Here is a 24,757-nt window from a genome sequence, read left to right on the forward strand (position 1 = left end):
GTCAGCCGCACCTTCTGCTTGAGCCTGTGTCCCTGACAGCCCTGACTGCTCCCCGCTTCCTGCTGGCCCCGTAAGGTCTGCTGCCCTCCCGCCGCGGGGTCTGTGAGTAATAAAACTGCTCTGTTCTGGATTTCGCTGTACTGCCTCCACTGTGTCTCACCTGGCCGACTCACCTGAACCCAGCTTCTTTCTCCGTCAAGACTCTCCTAGAGATCGGCCATCCTGGTAGGAATAAACTGCACACAGGTCAGGCAAGAGCCACAGGGTGTCTGCCAGTATCAACAAGCTTCTTGTGGAAGGGAGGCCTGGTCACAGGTTGGACATTTAGGCAGTAGGCTGTCTGCCAGAATGAAGTCGTTAGTAAAAGGCACACTGTCAACATCCGTGACCAAATGCCCAGGAATCTCATCAGGGCAGGGCTAAAGTTTGTAGCCACTCTGCTGAGAGAGACCTCCAGACGAAATGAGAAGCTACGTGCGCGCACACACACACACACACACACACACACACCCCAGTCTTTCAGCTCTCTGTGTCTCAATTCCCTTATTTGTAAAATGGGGACAGATGTGCCGGCTCACTGTACTGAAAGAATGAAATGCAGTCATCTATAAAAAGTGCTTAGAGCAGTACCAGGACTCAATTACCATTGGGTGTTATTATTATTATATACAACCAAAAACATCTAGAATATTTGACTATGCGAAAAACTCCTAAAATTAGTTTTAGAAGTATAAACAATACAATTTACAAATGAGCAAAAAATAAAGACAGGCAACTCACAAAAGAAACATGAATAGCCAATAAATAGAAACCAAAAATTTTCAACCACAATGATAATCAAAGAAATGCAAATTAAAATATCAGTAAGATGCCAACCTGCATGCATCAGGTTAGAAAACGTATGGGATAACTATGGCGATGGATACGACAACACCATAGTCAGACAGCCTGTTGACAGGCAGGCAGTCATTCCTACCAGTGTTGGTGAATACAAACCCATGCATTCTTTTGGGGGGTGAATTTGGTAGAATATTATAAAATGTAAAATGTAAACACTCTTTCATCTAACAGCTCCAATCCTTGAGTCTGCACTAGAGAAATACTCTAAACAGGTATTGTTCATCACTGAGAAGGTAGGACAGCCTCTAAATGCCCTACTTACAATACTGTAAGATAATTAGTAGTTCATGGTTCAATGCAACGATGCATATCTGTACATATTGCCAAGAAATTTTCAGTCATACTGTTGTTATTTTTTAAATTGAAGAACAATATATAAAAACTGGTCCCATATATATTTTAAAGCCCACAATAAAAAATAGTATATAATATAGAATTTACACATATAAACATATGTGGCATATAAAACATATTTATAGAACATATGTAAAATCATATGTATCATATGTAAATGAAGAGCAACAGTGATCAATTCTAAGGGGAAGGCATATGGGTAGGGGATTGGAGGAACAGAGATTTATCAAGGTTGAATTTTGTTTGCTGTGTATTGACTGAATTATTTACAATAAGGATGCATTCACTTACGGATTGTGAAATTTTAAAATTAAAAAAAAAGACCTGACATATAGGTAATATTCAGTAAATAATTGCTGTTATTGTAGATGTGAATGTAATTATTAATCTTGAAATTATGTATTAGTCTCTTGCTCTTTTTTTTTTGAGATGGAGTTTTGCTCTTGTTGCCCAGGCTGGAGTGCAATAGCATGATCTCGGCTCACTGCAACCCTCGCCTCTCGAGTTCAAGTGATTCTCCTGCCTCAGCCTCCCAAGTAGCTGAGATTACAGGTGCACACCACCATATCCAGCTAATTTTTGTATTTTTAGTAGAGACGGGGTTTCACCATGTTGGTCAGGCTGGTCTCGAACTCCTGACCTCATGTGATCCACCCGCCTCGACCTCCCAAAATGCTGGGATTACAGGCATGAACCACCACGCCCAGCCATCTCTTGATCTTAAGGCACCAAGAGTCTGCTTTTCTGACAACCAGAATGCCACTGTACTATTATTTTTTTTTAAGCTGAAGTCTTCAAACCAGTTTCATACAACCAAAGCAAAGAGGAAGCCTACAGAGTTTCATAAAGTGACCAGGAACAGCTGTCTGGATTGATTCGAAATGAAAGAAAAGCTCGAACTTCCACTGCAGCAATCTTGTACAGCACTTTACTTCGGTAGACCTGACCCAAGCAGCACAGAGCCCGGCATTTGCAAAGGGGAGTATACTTTCAGACATAATGGGAAAGAAGAGAATTAGCATTTTAAGGGTTGTGTCTTTTTTGCTTTATTTATTCATGCTTTATTTTCATCTTTTTAAATAAATCACATTAATAGGCTATATCTGTGTAGCAGACAGAAATGTAATTTATTTGAGAAAGGCAAAAATAAATTGCCATTGGTTTTTAATTTTGATTGTTAATAAGATGATACAGTTAATACTGATTTAAAACGCCTGCAAACAAGCTCTGCAGAATTCAAATTATTTATAGATAAAACGTTAAATATTCTATAACAAGCTTGTATCACAGAAACATCAGTAATTTTGGGTCTGCCTTGCAGCTTATGTCACAGAAACCTGTCTTTTTTTGGTGTGTCCTTCAGTTATTAGATATAAGGTCAACAGTCTCATGTATTATACTTAATGCGATGGTTGTGTCCAATTCATCTCTTTATCACCTAATGATAATTCTTATTAATGTAAGTTATTTGGAATAGATGGAGTCAGGCCAATCACAAAATCCCTTGACTGTAGTTTTGAAATATGCTCAACATCATAATGATGGAAAGTCATATTTGGAAACTCTGAGGGTATCTTCAACTTGGAAGTTAACTTCTTTAAGTAAATTAGGATTGTCCTTGGCAGATGGTGAAGGACCTCACTAAATGAAACACATAATTAGTTTTACACTGACATAAATATATCTCCTTATGCCTGTATTTGTTCATTTTAAAAATGAGATTTGATTAGATGATCTAATCCTATCTTTCAGTTACAAAAGAATGTATATACACATATATGCTCTCCTATAGATATCATACCATATAAAATTAGAACAATTGTAAATTATTTCTAAAGAAGAAAATAAAATATAGGTCTAACTCTGATGAAATTTCAGAACAGATCATCAAAGATGTGTTCCATTAGTACTTGGCAAATGAAAATAAAATGATAGTAAATGTAATAATAGTGATTAGCATGGGTTGCATGAGAAATTTTATCAAACAATACTAATCAGTAAATACGACATGCCTTCGGGTTGTTATCAAGATATTTTTTATAAGAAGATTGAAAAGTTTCAATAACAAGGTCTTCTTGTGGCTTGTAGAATAAAAAGGATTGATTATTTGTCCATTATCAGGCTGAAAGAGGATATCTGTTTTCTTCTGAAGTTTTTGTCCATGGCCCCGACTCAGTGCACACTTTTTTTAGATCAATAACTTGAAGATATAGAGAGTATCAAGTTTACAAATCATTTAAATCAAAGAGGCATGGCTAACTGTACATCTAGTAGCAAAAATATGATTCCAAAAGTTTAATAGGCTGAAAACATGAGATTAAAACTAAAACAGCAAGATGGGAGCTGGAGGCAGTGGCAGACACCTGTAGTTTCAGCTACTCTGGAGGCTGAGACTGGAGGACAGCTTGAGGCCAGGAGTTGGAGACTGCAGTGAGCTATGATTACGCCTGTGAATAGCCACAGCACCCCAGCGTGGACAACAAAGGGTGACCCTGTCTCTAACAAAAGAAAAGGCAAAAACTGAGCAAGATGAAATGTAGAAAGGATAAAATAAATAGAAAACCCAAATTACCGATATTCGCTGTGAATAAGACATAGAAGTTTATTTGTTCACAGTGAGCTCAATATGAGCCAGTGGTGTGATTGGTTGTGTTTCTTCCTTCTGAAAATGACTGCAGTTTAAACTAAACTATTAGTGTTCAACACACACAAAAATATAGTGGCACTTGGTTAGTTTATGTCTAGAAATCCATGTTTAGTTCTGGTTACCGTATTTAAAATATTTGGTTACCTTTTTAGTTCTGGTTACTATATTTAAAAGCAGATTACAGACATGCGTAGACAAAAGGTAGTTTTAAATATGGTAATGATATTGGGAAGTGTGTAATAGGAAGCCAAATGTTTTTAGCCTAGAAATGTAAGGTGTATGCATTTGTGTTAGGGTGCACGCTTTTAGAGAGGGTGACTATTATGATTGGGAGGGGAAATAAAGAGATGCCATTACTATGCAAATATTTATAGGACTATGTCTTAGAAAACACATTTGTCTTACATTTATCTTTTTACTCTGCTTTATATTTTTAATAGATGTTTAAAAAGAAAATTAAAATTATTCTTCACAGTCACCATTTTTGAAAAGACAAAAGTAGCAAAAAGAGAGATACCAGCTCATGCAAACTAAATAAAACAAAAGTGTTCCTGTTTCTCCACGTGTGTCCATCTTTATGTACTCAGTGTCAAATATACTGGCAGGCAGACAGCAGATGTTACATATGTACTGGCCAAATGAATGAATAATAAATCACTATGAAGTGAATGGCTTGTGAGAGCCCAGCCACTAGGCAAGCCTGGAGGATGACCATCTATGAGGGACCTCAGAGAAAGAACTGCTGAAAGAAGCCCATGGGCCTCCTTGACTTCTAAGATACATTTAGACATAATACTATTTAAGAGAGCAAGTAAGAGCAAATTTTCTCCCATAGTTCTGATTATCATTATAGTTTAAGCGTTAGACCTTGTTCAAACAAGCTTGGAAAACAAGCTGTCTTGTCTGTTAAGGGGAGAGTAAGTGATATAAAAATGTAAAGGTTAAGATTTCTGATAAGTTAAAGCTTGGTAAAATATTTCCACGTATGTAAATGATTATGCCAATTTAATTTGTTTCCAAAATTGGAATATCCTTTAGAATAGAAATAAAATATTTAATCTGAATGGTAATACACTGATCTCCTTTTGTCGTGAACTACCGAGTCCTTTCTACAGTTTTGGCCATACACATGAAAATTAAATTACAGTATTTTAAAATAGTATTTGTATATTCCATTTGGGATCCTAACTTACCTAAGCAGCTCGAATACATTTTAAATTAAAATCAAGTTTGGATTTTTTTCCCAGAGAGGTGACTTATTGCAAATAAGTAGCTCCCTCTATTTCATATTTGTCCATTTTTATTCTAAATATTTTAATACTATAACTTAAATATTCTATTGGTTTTATTTTTCTTAATATGATAATATTTTTATAAAGTATTTAAAGTAAACAAAATGTATTATAGTTATTGTTAGATAAAGGTGATAGACTTAAATAAACTAAGGCATGAGCCATATCTGGGGTTCATGGATATTGAAATAATTTATTCTTTTAAAGCACATTATTGAGATGTTACACACATTTGGAAACACAAAGGGTAATAACTTTAGTTTCTATCGATAATAAAAATTAGATAACCTGAGGAATCTTTAGAAGAGCATAGCAATGTAAAAAAAAAAAAGAGGCTAAAATAACACACATACGTTTTAACAGTGTTTGTCTTTTGCTGGTGGGACTATGAATGATTTTTCTCCCCACTGTCTACATTTTTACAATTAACATTATTTTAACAAGAAATAAAAATGGCGTGTTACTTTCTTTTAAAAAAAATTGTTAAATGTTAAGAGTAAAATAATGGCACTACACTATTTCAAAAGCAAAATATTAATTTCATGTTGAGCATAAAATTCTTATTAAGGCTGAGTCTCTTTGTGTCATACTAATAAAAAATTCTCCAATTATATATCTTAAGGGTACCTGGGCAGAGCAACCCTCAACATCACTAGGAAATGAATCCCTTCTTGGAACTAAATTCTCCAAATCAGGGAAGTCACTTTCTTAAGCAATAAAATATTTGGAAAATTAAACTTATTTATAAAGTCTGTTTTTCTACTAAGTCATTTAGCTCCTTTATTGCTTTCTTTATGTGGCTATTTTTCAACATTCTCTTAATGATTCAGAGATATTCTTGTGATTGTTAAAGACTTCACAATTAAATACGCGGCACCTGTTAGGATGTAGCGGGCACTAGTGACTAGCAAAGCTTTGGTTTTGAGTTACAGTGTTTGTTCTTTATGGAATTTCTGTATTTTCCCCTGTAGCCTTCCTGTTAGATATTACTGCTGTTACTGTATCTTTCTTTAACCACCTCTTCTTTCCTCGTCTTCTAGCTTCTGGCTTTTAATAAATGTGCTATGGTAAAAAAAAAAAAAAAAAAAGAAAGAAAAAAGTTAATATTGCTTACAGCTATGTGTAATAATATTCAGTAATTTTCTCAACAACAAATATCTTCTATGGCCAGGAATAGCATAAGGCCATTAAGTTGCTGTGAGATAGGAGCAGAGTGCATCTGCAGGTGTCTGAAGGAGGAGAGCAGAATGAGAATGCACTCAGAGAGTTCACGCAGCCCCTCGTTCCCTCATTTTTAGGCCAGGAAGTGGCTCATCTGGCTTATGTTTTAAATATCATTATGATTGGTCTATGCCAAATAGATTTTAGAGAAACAAGTGGTAGAAGTAAAATCAGGATAGAAATGACAGAGGCTTGGACTAGGGTAGCAGTGGTGGATATGATGAGAAGCAGTATAATACAATTTCTGTTTTGAAAATGTTAATACATAAAATCTTGTCAACTTTTTAAGGGGCTCAATATGGGAAAATGGGTTATAGATACGGGTAATGGCAAGAGCCACTGACAAGTTTACCAGTGACAAGATGTGCCAAAGGTTTAGGTATGGGCTGAGACACAGAAAGAAATAATAAAGGACACCTCCCAGGTTTTGGCCTGAGCAACTGCCTGAAGGTGATACCACTTACTGAGGGGCCCAGTAAGAAAAGCAAACTTGGCTGGGGAAGAACTAGAAAGGAAATCGAGAGTTCAGACCTGCCATGTTAAATGTGAGATGCAGCCATACAAGTGGACGTGATGACACCATTCTGTAGTTCAAGTGAATGTTCTGGCTAGAGATATCCATTTGGGAATTTTCACAGTAGATACAGAATTAAAACCTATGCAATTAGATATTATCAACCAGAGAGCAAGTAATGATAGAGAAAAACAAAGTATAAGGAAAACAGTAACTTGGGCAGTGCAATATTTAGATGTCATAAAGAGGAGGAAGATCCATCAACGCAGATAGAGAACACGCTAATGGGATAGAGGGAAAAAGTAACCCAATAGTACGTGGTGTCCTGGAAGCCAAATAAAGGAGGAAAAGCAGCTGGACTGTGTGATATGCTATTCAGAGACTGAGTAGGTCACCACTGCTTTGAGTTCCAGAATCTGAGTCTAGAGGGTCGCACATAAGACTTAATATTTAACGTATGTAATATTAGTTACATGTATTTTCCACCTCCTAAATTTCTCCCAAGCCCACCCTTCTTTCAGTTTTCCTACCTGTACAATAAATGGCCCTTATTAACCCATTCACTCATACTGAGTCCATTATAAAAACACAATAGTCCTTAACTCTGAAATATATTTCAAATCTACTCACTTCTCTCCGTCTCTACTGCCAACCTCCTTGTGCAAACCATGTTTGAGAACTTTTGTAACTCATTTTTTGAGAACTATTGTAACTGCTCTTTAACTAATTCCTCATCATCCCTTCTTTCCACTCTTGGCTTTTATAATCTAACATGCGGAGCTCTCAAGGTTTGCTGCCATGTTAAAAAAACAGTAGCAGAGAAAACCAGAAAAGAAAGCGGATTCTAAGGTTTTGGTCTGAGAACTCCGTGAATGGCAATGCCATTTATTAAAACAGGGAGCTCTAAGGAAGGTGAGTTTGATGAGGGATTGAGAAACGTGGAAATCATGTGTCTTATTATGTCATTTCCATTTTTTTTTTTTTTTTTTTAAGGCAGAGTCTCGCTCTGTCACTCAGGCTGGAGTGCAGTGGCGGGATCTCGGCTCACTGCAAGCTCCACCTCCCGGGTTCACGCCATTCTCCTGCCTCAGCTTCCTCAGTAGCTGGGACTACAGGCGCCCGCCATCACGCCTGGCTAATTTTTTTGTATTTTTGGTAGAGATGGAGTTTCACCGTGTTAGCCAGGATGGTCTGGATCTCCTGACCTCATGATCTGCCCGCCTCAGCCTCCCAAAGTGCTGGGATTACAGGTATGAGCCACCACGCCCAGCCTATCATTTCCATCTCTTTATCAGTTCTAAAAAATTATATTCACAATAGCATAAAAAGAATAAAATATGAGGGATATTTTAACAAAAGTAGTGCAGAGCTTGCACACTGAAAACCATAAAACATCGCTATGAAAAATCAGAGAAGATCTAAGTGAACAGAGAGATAGTCCATGTTTATGGATTCAAAGACTGAGTGTTGTTAAGATGGCAAATTCTTACCAAATTGATCTATAGATTCAACACAATCCCTATCAAGAATTCAGCAGGCTTTTCTCATTTAAAATTTTTGCAGAAATTAACAAGCTGGTGCTAACATTTATATAAAAACACAAAGGAATCAAATTAGCCACAATAATTTTGAAAAATAAAAATGAATTTAGACTACTTACACTTCCTGAATTTGAAATTTCTATAAAGATACAATAATCAAGACAGTGTGGTACTGACATAAGCATGGAAATACAGATCAATAAAGTAGAGTCAGGAATCCAGAAATAGCTCCTTACATATAAAATCAACTAATTTTTGACAAAGCTGTCAAGGTACTTCAGTAGGGAAAGGATAGTCTTTTCTACAAATGTGTTGGAACCCCTGGATAAATTCATGCAAAAAGAGGAATTTAGGCTGGGCACAGTGGCTCATGCCTGTAATCCCAGCACTTTGAGAGGATTACTTGAGCCCAGGAGGAGGATTACTTGAGCCCAGGAGGTCAAGACCAGCCTGGGCAACATGGCGAGACCTCATCTCTATTAAAAATACAGAAATTTCTGGGTGCAGTGGCTCATGCCTGTAATCTCAGCACTTTGGGAGTCCGAGGTGAGCGGATCACGAGGTCAGGAGTTCTAGACCAGCCTGACCAACATGGTAAAACCCTGTCTCTACTAAAAATACAAAAATTAGCTGGGCATGGTGGCAGGTGCCTATAATCCCAGCTACTCAGGAGACTGAGGCAGGAGAATCGCTTGAACCCAGGAGGCAGAGATTGCAGTGAGCCAAGATCGTACCTGTGCACTCCAACCTGGGTGACACAGCGAGACTCCGTCCTCCCCACCAAAAAAAAATATTAGCCAGGCATGGTGGCATGCAGTTATAGTCCCAACTACTTGGGAGGCTGAGGTGGGAGGATTGCTTGAGCCTAGATGGCAGAGGATGCAGTGAGCCGAGATTCTGCCACTGCACACACTAGCCTGGGAGACAGAGCGAGACTCTGTCTCAAAAAAAAAAAAAAAGAGAGAGAGAAATTTACACACTTTACTCATATAATACACAAAAACTAACTCTAGATAGATCATAGACTTAAACGTTAGAGTTAATATTATAAAACATCCAGAATAAAAACATAGAAGTATTTTTTGCGAACTTGTGTTAGAGAAGAGTTCTTAGACATGACACTGAAAGCTCAATTCATGAGTAAACAAAAAAAGATAAATTGTTCTTCATCAAAATTAAAAACTTCATCATCCAAAATATACCATTAGGAAATGAAAAGACAAGCTACACGCTGGAAAACATATTTGCAAATCATATATTTGACAAAGGACTTGTACCCAGACTATGTAAAAGGCTCCTACAGCTCTATTAGAAGACAACTCAATTAAAAACTGAGCATAATATTTGAATAGATATTCACTTAAAAAGATATATCAATGGCTAACAAACATGAAAATATTCTCCATGCCATTAATTAATCAGGGAAATTCAAATTAAAACATGCATGAGAAACTATTTCACAATCAGTAAAATGGTAATATCCAAAAAAATAAAAGATAATAATAATACACCCCCTACCACATGAATCAGCAGTTCTACTCAGAGGAATCTACTCAGGAGAAATAACACACATAGCCACACAAGGACTTGTATGCAAGTGTTCATACCAGTAAGAAAAGGCAAATCTTATAGGGGCACAGAGTAGATTAAATTAATGGTTGCCTAGGGCTGGGGAAAGAGTGTGGATTAATAAAAATGGACACAAGAGATCTTTTGGGAGTGAAAGAAATGTTCTAAAACTGAATTGCATTAATAGTAGCATAAGTCTATAAGTTTATACACATTGATTTGTACACTAAATCTCAGAGAATTTTATGGTGTGAAATTATAACTGAATAGTATTGTTAAAAAATGTAACGTTCTTTCTGCACAAATAAAGTCAATTAATCCTTAATAAAGGAGAAAAGCAATTCAATAGACAGAAAAAATAGTCTTTTCAACAAATGGTACTGGAATAATTGGACATGCATATGCAAATATAAAAAGTAAATATATTGAACTTACACTTTTCACAAAAACTGACTCAAAACAGATCTTCAACCTAAATATAAACCAAAATATTATAAAACTTCTGGAATAAACAAGAGGAGAAAAATTAATGTGATTTTGAGTTTGGCAATGGATTTTTAGATATAACATCAAAAGACATAATCAGTGAAAGAATAAAAATGTCAGTTTTATTAAAATTTAAAACTTCTCCACAAAAGACACTATCAAGAGAATGAAAAGACAAGCCACAGAATAGGAGAATATATTTGCAAAACAGATATTTGATAGAGGACTTATATTCAAAATCTACAAAGAACTCTAAGAAACTCTTAAAACTCAACAGTAAGAAAACAACACAATTCAAAACTGGGCAAAAGAACTGGAAAAAGACCAGGCTGTCAAAGATACAGAGACAGCAAACGAGCATGTGAGGAGATGCTCAGTGTCGCGCGTCATCAGGGAAATTTGATTGAAAACAGCATGCTGATACCATTATACACTCATTAGAATGGTTAAAATCAAAGAAACTCACATTACCAAATTCCTATGAGGATACAGACCAACAGGAACTCTCATTTTTTGTGGGAATGAAAAATGGTATAGCAGCTTTAGAAGACAACTTGGCAAACTCTTACAAAACTAAACATAATCTTACTATACAATCCAGTAATCTCATCCATATTTGATTTGAAAACTTATATCTACACAAAAACATGTATGAATGTTTAAGCAGCTTTATATATAATTGCCAAAATTGAAAGGAACCAAGAAGTCCTTCTATAGGTGAATGCATAAGCTAGTAGATCCATATAATGGAATATTATTCAGTGGTTAAAAAAAAGTGCAATCAAGTCACAAAGACAAGGAGGAAACTGAAATGCACGTTGGTAAGTGAAAAAAGCCAGTGTGAGAGGCTACATATGATATGATCCAATTATATGACTTGTAAAATGAAAACCTGCCATCTATGAAAACACAAATCCTGATTGCTAGGAAGTGAAGTCAGAGGGGATCAAGCACTGGGCTTGGGGCGATGGTGAAACCATCCTGTGTGATGCTGTAATGGTGGATGCACGACATTATGCATCTCTGAAAACTCATCAAACTTCACAGCATCAAGAGTGAGCCTTAAGGTATGCACAATTTAAAAAATAGGAGGCTGGGAATCCCAGAAAGATATGCAGAATATGACAGAGGAATGCGACTGTATCATAAATATATCAAATTACCTCACTGAATAGGGTCAGGAGAAAGGGGCTGACCTAAATAACTTTGGAATTGAGCAAAGTTTCTAAAAATTAAAGAACAGCAACTGCACGTAAGCACTGTACTGTAGCTGGCAAAGTTGTCTCCCATGGGAATACAGCTTCACGATTCTTAGCCCTCCCCTTACTTCTCTGTAAATTCTCAGTCTAACTGTAAGAACCTGGCTTCTCTCACCCACCATCGTTTATGTAGCTGTTCAGTGATATGACACCTTTATACAACTATTCGAATGGCTGAAATATAAGCAACTCACGTGACCAATGCTTATGAGGATACAGAGCAAAGGGAGCTCTCATTCATTTTTGGTGGGAACAAAAAAGATACAGCCACTTTAGAGTTTGGCAAACTCATACAAAGCTAAACATGAATAGGTATATAAATGAAGGTGGGTTGGAAAAGCCAGGTTATTTTTTGGTTAGAATTTACAGATAAGAGAAGGAGGCTAGAATGATGCCTTTGTTAGCATATTTGAATTGGAGACATCAGTATAAGCTCACATTTAGCTTAATATAGATACAGATGGCCACCTATGGAAATATTTATAGATGTATGTATATACATGCGTTAGGATACACACATCTATTTCTTTGCTCTATCAGCTGAGAAGATCTAAAACAAATGGCACCCTCGTATCAATGAACACACCTAGATCTTGCATTGACTACCTCCTCCAATAAAACAAACCAAGTCTTCTTGTAGAGAGGGCTGATACTAACACCAAGGCCAGGTGTATACAGGATGAGCCTGGAGCATCCAGTAGTCACAGAAAGCAGGGCGTGCACCCTCCTCCCCACAGAAAACCTCACATCATGAGGGTGTGTGAAGGGGGCACAAAGCCAACTGAAAGCGCTCCCAATGGCCAAAGCTGGAACGATTTGAGCCACAAAATAAGTCGTGTTGGATTATAATCCAAACTATAAAAGAAATATCCATGGCCTGGTGCAGTGGCTCACACCTGTAATCCCACCACTTTGGAAGGCCAAGATGGGTGGATTACAAGGTCAGGAGATCGACACCATCTTGGCCAACATGGTGAAACCCCATTTCTACTAAAATACAAAAATAAGCTGGGCGTGGCGGCGCGTGCCTGTAATCCCAGCTACTCAGGAGGCTGAGGCAGGAGAATCGCTTGAACCCAAGAGACAGAAGTTGCAGTGAGCCCAGATAGCACCACTGCACTACAGCCTGGCAACAGAGCAAGACCCTGTCTCAAAAAAAAAAAAAAAAATCCACGAGTCTACACTGATATAAAGAATGATTGAATAAATGAATAAATCGGGGAGTCAAATCAAATCCCCTGCCAAATCATTTCTAATAACTTATGCCACTGTTTTGCCTTTAAGGAAGCTACTCCAGCCTTGAGGGATTGGAGCATAACTCCTAATCCCTAAGTGTGAGCTACACATACAGACTCCCTTCCAAGGGGTAGATTCTGGAAAGTGCAGGGCGAGGCAGCGGAGGAGCCACTTTACAGGGAAGAAAACACGACCTCAGCCAGGTGATTCAAGTCGAAGTCAGAACCAACAGTCACAAATCATGCTGACAGTGCTTGCCCACGATATGATGCAATGAAAATGGCGGCTTAGCTTTGTGATTTTCCTCTACAAAAGACACAAATCTAGTCTAATCATGAGGGGAAAAAAAGTCAGAAAATTTCCAACAGAGGGCAACCTACAAAAGAGGACTTCTCAAAATTGTTGGGGTCATCAAAAACACAGGAAGTCTGAGAAACTATGACAGCCAAGAGGAGCCTGAGGAGTCACGGCCACTAAATGTAACATGGTGTCCCATAGGATTCCGGAACCTAAAGCTGATGTTGGGTAGAAACTAAGGAAGTCTGGGCCAGGCACAGTGGCTCACTCCTGTAATCCCAGCACTGTGGGAGGCCAAGGCTGGTGGATCACCTGAGGTCAGGAGTTCGAGACCAGCCTGGCCAACATGGTGAAACCCCTTCTCTGCTAAAAATACAAAAATTAGCCAGGTGTAGTGGTGCATGCCTGTAATCCCAGTTACTCAGGAGGCTGAGGCAGGAGAATCTCTTGAACCTGGGAGGTGGAGGTTGCAGTGAGCCAAGATCATGCCACTGCACTCCAGCCTGGGGAACTGAGTGCGACTAAGTTAAAAACAAAAAAAACCTAAGGAAGTCTGAATAAGCTATGGGCTTCAGTTCATAAGATATTTATAATATTAGTTCATTAATTATGCAAAGGTACCATGCTAATATAAGCTGTTAATGATAGTGGGAACTGGCTTGGGTGTATGGGAACTATCTGTACCATCTTCCTAATTTTTTTATGAACCTAAAACTGTTCTAAAAACTAAAGTCAGAGTCGATGTTTCTATCAGTATCCCCACTCTCCAGCCATGTCTTTGTGTTCCTCTTCCTCGCAGTGCATGTGAGGATTTGCTCCTTGGCCTGGAACACTGTTTCTCTTGCTGTGGATCAACATAAGCCTAATCCATTTAATCATGGCGATCTCATCATCAGCTCCCACCTAAACTGCTCCTCTTCACAGAAGAGTTTTGCTGCCTTCAATCTACTCCATTGCACTCTCACTACTCCCTCGAGTTTTTCTTCACAGGACAAGCCATATTTGTATTATCTGAGTGTTATTAATTAGTTAAAGTCTATCACCTCCAGAGACTATAAGCTCCATGAAAGCAAGGACTACATTTGCTCCCAATTTCAATACTGAGAGTAACATTGAATATTCGATCATTTTAATGAATGAATACACGACAGAAAAAATGAATCCTGACCTCTCAAAGATTATGTACTTATTTTTACTTCCTTCTTGGCAGCATGTAAGATTACATATATTCTAAATTATTGATAGTGAACTTCTGTCTAACCCACGTGGTATTCTAAAAGACATTTTAACTATTCAGATACAGCTGAATATTTGTATCAGGGTAATACAGGCATAAATATCCAGTGGTTAAACCTCCATGAATGTACAATATTTTAGTCCATATTTTACATAGTCATTAAATGCTTTATTGAAGCAGAGTAAAGTCTGAAAACTAAAGCCAAATCCTTTGACACTAAAAATAAAAAAAAAGCGGGTGTCCAAGCAACATAACGGTCAGTGATTTGCTACTTAACAAATGAAAAACAAAGAAACAAAATCCAAATCAATGTAAACAATATATACCTCTCTGTTGACAATGACAACAGGTGCTATCAACACAGAAGATGATATAAATGTAAGTGCTTTAGTCAACATTACAGCCAGATGATAATAAGAACATTTCACTCTGCATTTATAGGACCCAGTAGCAGTCGGCTGTTAAAGAAAAGTAACAATAATCAAACTGGGCTAAGTATTTTCTATGTGAAGGTATCATGAAATTTATGAAGTCTGTGTAAGAAAGATAAAGGCATTCACTTTTGAAAGAATAAGATAGTTTAAACCTCAACATTCTCTATGCTTAAAATTGAGCTAATTTGAATAAACAGACCATGACATGGAACTGTCACTTTACAAGTTCCTGCTTTAGTCTTTAACTCTCAAACTAGCATTCTTTAAACTGTCTAACACTGTGAACTAGTTTTAATGCCTCCAGCTTTGTCTCCTATTATTATGAGCACATTATATGGAGTGAAAAAAGAGGAATATTGTTGGACTTAATAGTAAATATAATATGGAAAATAATGCAATGAGCACTTAAACAAAGTTATAACCATGGTTAAACAAAAGAAAGATTGTATGTGTCAGCTGCTGAAAGACATTCTAAGTTATTTGTGTGCAATATACTGTTGTTTGACAGAACTGACACCTAAATGTGAATGATGGTTTGCTTTCGCTAATATTAGGGCATGAATCTAGGTTTAATCCAGTCCAGTCAAACCTGGACTATGCCTCACTTTTTCTTCATAGATTTGACAATGGGTCTTCATTTTAAAATCACTTACAACCACGAAGAGAAAAAAAAAATCTCTTCACTGGTCCGTTTGGCAAATGACAGTTTGCTTGAGATTTCCTTCTGAGATCAAAGAGGAGGAAATAATGTCACGCTGCAGGAATTTCTAATGATTAATGTTATTACCATGAACACCAAAGGAAGTGATAATAATTTGCCAAGTGTGCTGCCCGGTTTTCCAGTATTAACTCATCACTATTTGCTTCCTCAGAGTAAGGATTTCTCACAAATAAGGAAAAGGGATGAGGAGATATGTATTGCTTTTGTTTTCCGAGAATGCCACGCACCCACACTCAGCACACCCTAGCGAGATTTTAGCCTATGCATGTGCGTCTTTCCTGCCTTTGCCTGTTTCTGCCTCTTGACCAGCGTCTATCAACTATGGAGCTCGACTCCCTGCCATTAAGGAGACAGACTTCCTGGGGTGCTCTGCTCCCACCTGCTCCCTTTTGGACTAAACAATGTGTGTGCTCTTCTGTTACAGAGTCAGTTCCTTCCACAAAATTACCGTCTTGCTGTCATTGGTATGGCTGCCAGCAAACCATGCCAAGGTCTTCTGGTGTGCCTACAGCTAAATACTTGAGGAGAAAGAGGGGAACTTTGAAGCTCTTGATGCCACACTCAGCATGGAACAATTTTGGCAAAGCAACCATTTGAAATTTGCTTACTCTTCAATTTAGGGACGGCTCTGATGATTTATGAGTTCAGTGAGTTGAATTCAAAGATAGAAAAGAGCATGTTTCTCCTGGACAATTATGGAGAAAGGGAGAATTAGCTGTTCCTTATTCTTCTTGTTAGTTAAGTCCTATTTGAACTGTTCTTGCCTCATGTGATGGGAATGTCTAAAAATGCCAAAGGAGCCATCCATTTATTTCCAGAATTAGCAAAAACCACAAACTTCGCTGCTGAAGAGCAGGCTCCCACAGGAACTCATATAATTCTGCAGCGTGCCATTGACTTTAAATGGCCCCAAATACTTTCTTAAAACTCTCTGATGTGATCTATCTTTGTGGTAACCTTCCACACAAAGTGCTGGAACAGTGAGAAATAGAAATATACATGCTTCATAATGACTTGCTAGTTTAAAATGAGTGCTTTGCACATGGCATTGGGCATATCCAGGCCCTCTCTTGCTTGGGCATAAAGCCAGTCTGAAAAGTGAATGTATAAATCATTCAGCTAGATATGTCAGCTTTTAGATGTATACGCTTCAGCTTAGAGGCCTAAAATATATCACACTGTTTTCAGAGTTTTGTAGCTTATTATCGGAGCAATAGAGAAAGATTTTGATTGTAGAATCAGTGTGTCTAAGTGCATAGTATGGGGCAAATGTGGGTATCTAATGAGTTAATTCAAAATCATAAGCAGAGGCGCTATTCTTGCTTCTTAGTAATAAAGTGTTCCTATTGGAGTCATCAATGATAATACAACTTTAGTCTAAAGCAAGGATGGAATCAAGGAATTTTATTTATAGTACTGTAACCTGTTAATTTGATGGGCAAAGACTGACAAATTCAGGAATGAAAAGAATGTGCTTTTCTTTCCCTTTCCTCTCCTCTCCTCCCCTCCCCTCTCCTCTCCTCTCCTCCCCTCTCCTCTCCTCCCCTCCCCTCTCCTCTCCTCCTCTCCTCTCCTCTCCTCCCCTCTCCTCTCCTTCCCTCCCCTCTCCTCTCCTCCCCTCCCCTCTCCTCTCCTCCTCTCCTCTCCTCCCCTCCCCTCTCCCCCCCTTCCTCCCCTCCCTTCTCCTCTCCTCCCCTCCCCTCTCCTCCTCCCCTCCCCTCTGCTCTCCTCCCCTCTCCTCCCCTCCTCTCCTCTGCCCTCCCCTACCCTTCTCTCCCTTCCTTCTCTTCTTCCTCCCTTCCTTCCTTTATCCCTCTCTCCTTCCCACCCTCTTCTCTTCCTCCCTTCCTTCCTTCTGTATAAAGTAAGATAGAGGTAATAAACTCAGTAGATTCAGTATACCGATAGCATATAACACTGACAAATCAGGTACCAGAGGCAAGTTCTGCAGTAGAATCTACAAGTGAAACTTCTAGAATTGTATTATTAAACCATAAAACATGCATCCCTCCCACCCTAAAGCTATTTTTTCTTACCACTTAGATGTAAATCATCTGAAATAAAGTTACAGATTTTGAGTAACAATATTAGTATGTGAATATGTGTTGCTGCTTCTCTAAGAACCTCCTAGTATACCCAGTACACCTGTTGGTAAGCCCCTGTCAACAGACAGAGCTGGTCATCCCCAGCCACTTCACAGGAGTTCCTGCCGTTTACAGTATTTCTTCAGAAGTTACGTTCAACAATTCTGCTACTTATGGTTTTCTTTTTCTGTAAATTTACTAGGCAAGTCATCTCTGCCTGACTTGCAAATTCAATGCTTGACTCTCAGATTACTACTGCTTTCATATAGATGTGGATCTTCCTTTGCAATGGTTTTTTTTTTTTTTTTGAGGCTGGAATTCAAACGTATTATTGAACCTCTAGAATAAATTAATATTTCTTTTCAGGGTTACTATCGATGAGACTATATCTAACATGTCTGCCTGAGTAATTTGTTTTCTATAATTATGGATTACTAAAGGGTAGAATCAAAATATTTCTGAGGTTCTCATACAGTATAATGTCTAGAATTCAAAACTTTTTTGTTAAGTGAAAAGACAGACTGTCTTATTCAAAAGGTGCACATTCGCTTTAATAAATGTTGACAAAGATTCTGTCTTTGAAATTTAGCCAGGCTTCTCTGAGCCCATTCTTACCCTGGCCTTGGCCTCGGTCTATACAGACATGTTTGTAGTGGCCTCCAAACACTAAGTTCGTTTCTCACAGTTGAAAGCTGCATCCCCAGGGACGACCCCGACCCCGGCTCGGCTTCAGTGCCTGCCTGAGGACACTGCAGGCTGCCCAAGGAGTCTACTGTTTGCTCCAGCCAACCCCTGGAGAGAGGGCTCCCATCTCCTAGCCTCTGTGGGAGGGTAAGGGCCTCATCTTGACAAGCTCCAGTTAACAAAACAATGTGGGTTTCACACGGACCAATCCCCGATTTCCTGCTTTTTGTAATTTTCCACTTCTCTGACCAGACTGATCCCCCGTCACCCATGCTCTCTTCTCTCGCTCTTGCTTTAAAATGCCCAGTCTCCTCTGCACAAATAAAACTTGAGTTCAATTCATGCTGGACTTTTTCCTACTACGATGGTACGTTATGGATTAAAAAACCTGTCCTTCCAGCTTTACCTAATGGCAGGCTTTGTTTCTCTTTGGACCATGTGCATGGTGTATCTTTCTTCTCTGCTCTCAGTGTGCCAGAAGTAAAATTAAGGGATTGAACCAATGGCTAGAACATCTCCAAAATTCTTACTCACTCTGGGTATGGTCTGCTATTTTTGCATTTAAAAAAAATAACTTTTACTTTAGACACAGGGACTACATGTGCAGATTTGTTACATGAGTATATTACACCCAGGTGGTGAGCATAGTACCCAATAGGCGGTTTTTCAGCCCTTGCCTGCTCTCTCCCTACCACCTCTAGTAGTCTGCAGTGTCTCCATTTTTCCCATGTTTATGTCCATATGTGGTTAATGTTTAGTTCCCACTGGTAAGTGAGAACATGATGTATTTGGTTTTCTGTTTCTGCATTAATTCAATTAGGATTACGGATTCCAGCTACATCCATGTTGCTGTGAAGGACATAATTTTACCCTTTTTATGGCTGCATAGTGTTCCATAGTGTATATGTACCACATTTGCTTTAACCAGTCCACCACTGATGGTCACCTTAGGTTGATTTCATGTCTTTGCTATCGTGAACAGTGCTGCAATGAACATACGCGTGCATATATCTTTTTGGTACAATAATCTATTTTCCTTTGGATATACACACAGTAATGGGTTTGCTGGGTCAAATGCTAATTCTGTTTTAAGTTTTTTGAGAAATCTTCAAACGGCTTTCCACAATGGCTGAGCTAATTTACATTCCCACCAGCAGTGTATAAGCGTCCCCTTTTCTCCGTAGCCTGACCAGCATCTGTTGTTTTTTTACCTTTTAATAATAGCCATTCCTCTGATATGATATGGTATCTCACTGAGGTTTTGATTTGCATTTCTCTGATGATAATGATGTTGAGCATTTTTTCATGTTTGTTGCCCACGTGTATATCTTCTTTCAAGAAATGTCTGCTCATGTCCTTTGCCCATTTTTAATGGGGTCGTTCACCCTTCGCTTGTTGATTTGTTTGAGTTTCTTATAATTCTGGATATTAGACCTTTGTTGGATGCAGAGTTTGCAAATATTTTGTAATTCCCAGGCTAATCATATTATACAAACCCAGGTCTGTTAGCCTGAGCTGCAGTTTGAGATAAATACCAGTAGGTGGCAGTGCAGGTCACATGGTGGCTTATTCTGCACAAAGCTGCTTTCCCATGGGGGTATGCCCTTGGGAAGAGAGGACTCAGGCACCAGTCTGGACAAGCACCCTTTTGTTAACGCAAAGGAAATAAGTCAATCAAATCAACACCAGTAAAGAAAAGTATACTTAGAAATACCAAACAACAATATTAAAAGAAAAACATCCTTAAGAGTACTGTTTTCTTTTCTCCTCATACTATTTTTGAGTTTACATTGCTGCTGCATTTTATGAACTCTTTTTGCATTGCAGCCCCAGGTTCAAGGCTTGGTGGAGTCCTGTAGTAGCCACCCAAGATTTCACTGGTCTTCAGAAACTTGGAAATAATCTCTCACAATTCGTCTTAAAACCACTGAATGTATGGTTCTTATGGAGGAGAGGCTGGCTAAAGGCAAAGTAAATGTAGATTTCGTGTCTCATCACAGAGGTTCAGCAATCACTCGCCCTGTCCTCAGTAGTTCCCCAATAGTCCCCTCCCAGGTCCCCACTCACTGCCTCTGGGATGCATCCCCCACTCCCTCCCCACTCCCCTGGGGTCTGAACAATAAATGGAAAGCAACTCGGCCTCTTCCCTTTCAAGGTGGGCACCGCCACTCTAGTTTAGTGAAAAATCTTTCCCTAAAATGGTCAGATTGATAAAAGGTAGGCAACGGTTCAGGAATATTTGTGCTTCCATTAGTGAGATTTATGAACTTACTCCAACATTCTGAAACAATGGGGGTTGATGATACAGTTCCCTAAGGTTCTTTTTATAAATTTAGCTCCAAGATCTTTATTTATCTGTAACTTCTGTGCTTCTCCTGAGCCTGTGGTAACACACACCTCTTAAGCAAGGGCTGCTCAATTAAGAACACCCTAGGAGGCTTGCACCTGAAGGTTTGGCTTTATGCCAGATACCATATCTGCACTAAAGAGCTTGTCTTACTAAAGGGGCTCACTCCCATTCTTTTCCATTTTAACAAAGGTTAACTTAACTTAAACATAAAATATTTGAAATAATTCTATAGTGACTGTCCCATAGAGAGAGAGGAAATGTATTTACATTGGGAGCTCTATGGAAATTTCATAAAGTGAATAGTTCTAAAATGAAAAGACAGAAATCTCTAGCATAGGTTATATGTTCCAGTGTTATGAATTAAGTCTCAAAGAAATTAAGTTCTTCAAAAAAGTTCCTGTTATAATGACACATGCTGAACTCTTTGTGTGTGTGTGTGTGTGTGTGTGTGTGTGTGTGTTTGTGGGGCCTCTAATACCCTCATGTTTTCAGTTTATATTTTACAGTATCCCCATTTTTCAGTTGAAGAATCATAAGGAGATGCTTTAAATAGTTTGCCCAAGAACATCAAGTGAGTAATTTGACCAAGCCAGAAAAATTGCAACAAAAGCTGGGTTTCTGCATTGCATCAGCCAGAACCGTGCTTTCTCAGAACTCTAATTCAGTATTATAATATTTCTGCTCTAACACCTTGCAGTGGGGAAAAAATTAAAATCTGATATTATACACACACTTTGGAATCCTTTAAAGTAAATGAAATATTTATGATTCAACCTGGGTTCAAATGAAGGAAGTGTAGGCATATCAGCTACAGTAAACCAATTGATGACTCAAGATGGCCAATGATGATAAAGTTGAGAGTCAGCTGGATTTTCACTGGGGCTGGCAGCAAGACAGGCCTGATGTTGAAAAAAGCAGACACAACAGGTGGAAGAACGGCAGAGTGGCTCTTGCTTTTGGTCTGAACACTCCCACTGGCTGCAGCACTGAGTTCTATAGAAGCATCTGCTCACCTTTCCTCTTGGCTGGAAAGACTTACATCAAATGATTACAGGTTTAATGAGGGAGAAGTGTCAAGATTAGAAAGACTAAGCTGTAGGTTTCATCTGGTAAACAATACGGGAAAGAGGCTGGGCACACTGGCTCACGCTTATAATCCCAGCACTTTGGGAGGCCAGGGTAGGAGGGTCACCTGAGGCCAGGAGTTCAAGACCAGCCTGGGCAACACAGAAAGACCCTCATCTTGACAAAAAAAAAAAAAAAAAAAAAAAAAACAGCTGGACATGGTGGCATACACCTCTATTCCCAGCTACTTGAGAGGCTGAGGCAGGACGATCACTTGATCCCAGGAGTTTGAGGCTACAGTGAGCCATGAGTGCACTATTGCACTCCAGCCTGGGTGGCAGACTGAGACACTGTACAGAAAAAAAAAAAAGAAAAAAAGAAAAAAGAAAAGAAAAAGGAAGATATTTACTCTTGCAAAGAATATGGGAATAAAGGCTATTTTTAAAGATATGTGTGCATTTTTATTTTATCTTAAACAAAGCTCTCTTTTTACAGACCTATTCAAAAACACTGTATTATCTACATTTAAGGTTTCTGAATTGTTCTTGAAAAAGGTAAGCTTAGACTGGTAATTGTGGCTCATGACTGTAATCCTAGCACTTTGGGAGGCCCAGGTGAGAGGACTGCTTGAGGCCAGGAATTCAAGACCAGCCTGGACAACATAGTGAGATCCCACCTCTACAAAAAAATTTAAAAAATTAGCCGGGCATGGTGGCACACGCCTGTAGTCCCAGCTACAGAAGAGGTTGAGGCGAGAGGATAACTTGAGTCCAAGAGTTCGTAGCTGCAGTGAGCTATGATCATGCCATTGCCCTCCAGCCTGAGTGACAGAGCAAGACTCTATCTCTAATGCAAATGAAAGCCACAATGAGATACCATCTCACACCAGTTAGAATGGCGATCATTAAAAAGTCAGGAAACAACCGATGCTGGAGAGGATGTGGAAAAATAGGAATGCTTTTACACTGTTGGTGGGAGTGTAAATCAGTTCAACCATTGTGGAAGACAGTGTGGTGATTCCTCAAGGATCTAAAACCAGAAATACCATTTGACACAGCCATCCCATTACTGGGTATATACCCAAAGGATTATAAATCATTCTACTGGTCGGGGGCGGTGGTTCACGCCTGTAATTCCAGCACTTTGGGAGGGCGAGGTGGGCGGATCACGAGGTCAGAAGATCAAGACCAGCCTGGTTAACATGGTGAAACCCCGTCTCTACTAAAAATACAAAAAGTGAGCCAGGTGTGGTGGCTGGCACCTGTAGTCCCAGCTACTCTGGAGGCTGAGGCAGGAGAATAGCATGAACACAGGAGGCAGAGCTCGCAGTGAGCTGAGATCGCGCCACTGCACTCCATCCAGCCTGGGTGACAGAGCAAGACTCTGTCTCAAAAATAAATAAATAAATAAATAAATAAATAAATAAATAAATAATTCTACTATAAAGACACATGAACACATACGTTTACTGCAGCACTATTCACAATAGCAAAGACTTGGAACCAACCCAAATGCCCATCAATGATAGACTGGATAAAGAAAATGTGGCACGTATACACCATGGAATACTATGCAGCTATAAAAAAGGATGAGTTCATGTCCTTTGCAGGGACATGGATGAAGCTGGAAACCATCATTCTCAGCAAACTAACACAGGAACAGAAAATCAAACACCGCTTGTTCACACTCATAAGTGGGAGCTGAACAATGAGAACACGTGGACACAGGGAGGGGAACATCATACATTGGGGCCTATTGGGGGTTGGGGGGTTAGGGGAGGGAGAGCATTAGGAGAAATACCTAATGTAGATGACGGGTTGATGGGTGTATCAAACCACCATGGCACGTGTATATATCTATGTAACAAACCTGCACCTTCCACATGTATCCCAGAACTTAAAGTATAATAATAATTTTAAAAAGACTCTATCTGTAAAGAAAAAAAAGAAAGAAAAAGAAAAAGGTAACCTTGTCTGAAAATCTTATTTATTTGTATGAGATTTTCATACTATACTCAAATATTCATCCAAACATTTGATTTAAAAAAACCCTCTTTCTCAGTTTTCAGTTACGTTTAAACAAGTTAGGCAAAGTTACTAAATCATGATACAATGAAGATCGTATTACATTTTAAAATTGCTAAAATATAAAAAAGAACACTATATATCTTATTTTTGTTACAAACTCATAATAGATCAAACTCTATAATATTTAGATTTGTGACTTCTTTGCATTTAAGTTTGCAAAATTCCATAAAAATACATCCCACAATTTTGTTTCTAGTCTTATTTCACTGAAACAAATTTAAACGATTTTTATGTAGATTAGCAAAATAAATGCGATTTTTATTTCAGCTGGAAGTTGGGATTATTTTTTGTGAGCTGGAAGAAGTGATAATTTACTAATCACTATACTAAGGGGTCACTTTTGCAAAGAAAATATTTCTTTTACACCCCATTTTAAAAATATTATTGTTTTGTTGTATATGTAAGTTTTCTTTGGTTATTATATGTCTACTCATCTTAACAGTTTTTGCTTTACTTATGAATAAGAATGATAAAGATCACTGTATGCGTAACAGCTGAACTGTTGCTCATTTTCCTATTGAATATAACACGAAGGAAGAGTTTCTAAAGCATTGGAGGAAGCAGGAAGGAGTTGTTCTAACAAAGTGATCATATTCACAACGAGGAACTGTTAAAACTACTGCCAAAGTTCCTAACTGACATGAAAATCTGATGGAGTCCTGGGGGTAGTAATTTTCCCTGTGAGCTCTCTTCAAGAAGTCCCTAAGGAAAGAATATTGCAAAATCAGAAGTTGAAGAGAAACATACAGAAATATTCAGGTTGTGTCTTCCATGCAGAA

At 38.5% G+C, this 24,757-nt stretch overlaps 2 long non-coding RNA genes across 4 annotated transcripts in view, besides 1 other annotated feature; both read right to left on the minus strand.

The window, feature by feature from the left end:
• The window catches only part of LINC02492 (long intergenic non-protein coding RNA 2492), a 139,764-nt gene that overhangs the window by 53,795 nt on the left and 61,212 nt on the right, over positions 1-24,757 (minus strand). The gene's annotated exons all lie outside the window — the stretch shown is intronic.
• Positions 1-24,757, minus strand: part of LOC105377604 (uncharacterized) — an 81,735-nt gene that overhangs the window by 22,043 nt on the left and 34,935 nt on the right. For all 3 annotated transcript variants that reach the window (XR_939614.3, XR_939612.3, XR_939613.3), the window contains exon 2: positions 6,071-6,255. This is a non-coding gene — a long non-coding RNA (uncharacterized LOC105377604). The remainder of the gene's footprint in view (positions 1-6,070; positions 6,256-24,757) is intronic.
• Positions 15,362-16,561: an enhancer, noted in NCBI's record as "BRD4-independent group 4 enhancer chr4:188523188-188524387 (GRCh37/hg19 assembly coordinates)". NCBI's record gives its function as "activates an origin of replication core promoter dependent on BRD2, P300/CBP, MED14 and CDK7 cofactors, and independent of BRD4, by STARR-seq in HCT116 cells {active_cell/tissue: HCT116}" and the evidence as "EXISTENCE:reporter gene assay evidence [ECO:0000049][PMID:35650434]".

This window comes from Homo sapiens, chromosome 4 (assembly GCF_000001405.40).
Source record: "Homo sapiens chromosome 4, GRCh38.p14 Primary Assembly".
Taxonomy (NCBI): domain Eukaryota; kingdom Metazoa; phylum Chordata; class Mammalia; order Primates; family Hominidae; genus Homo; species Homo sapiens.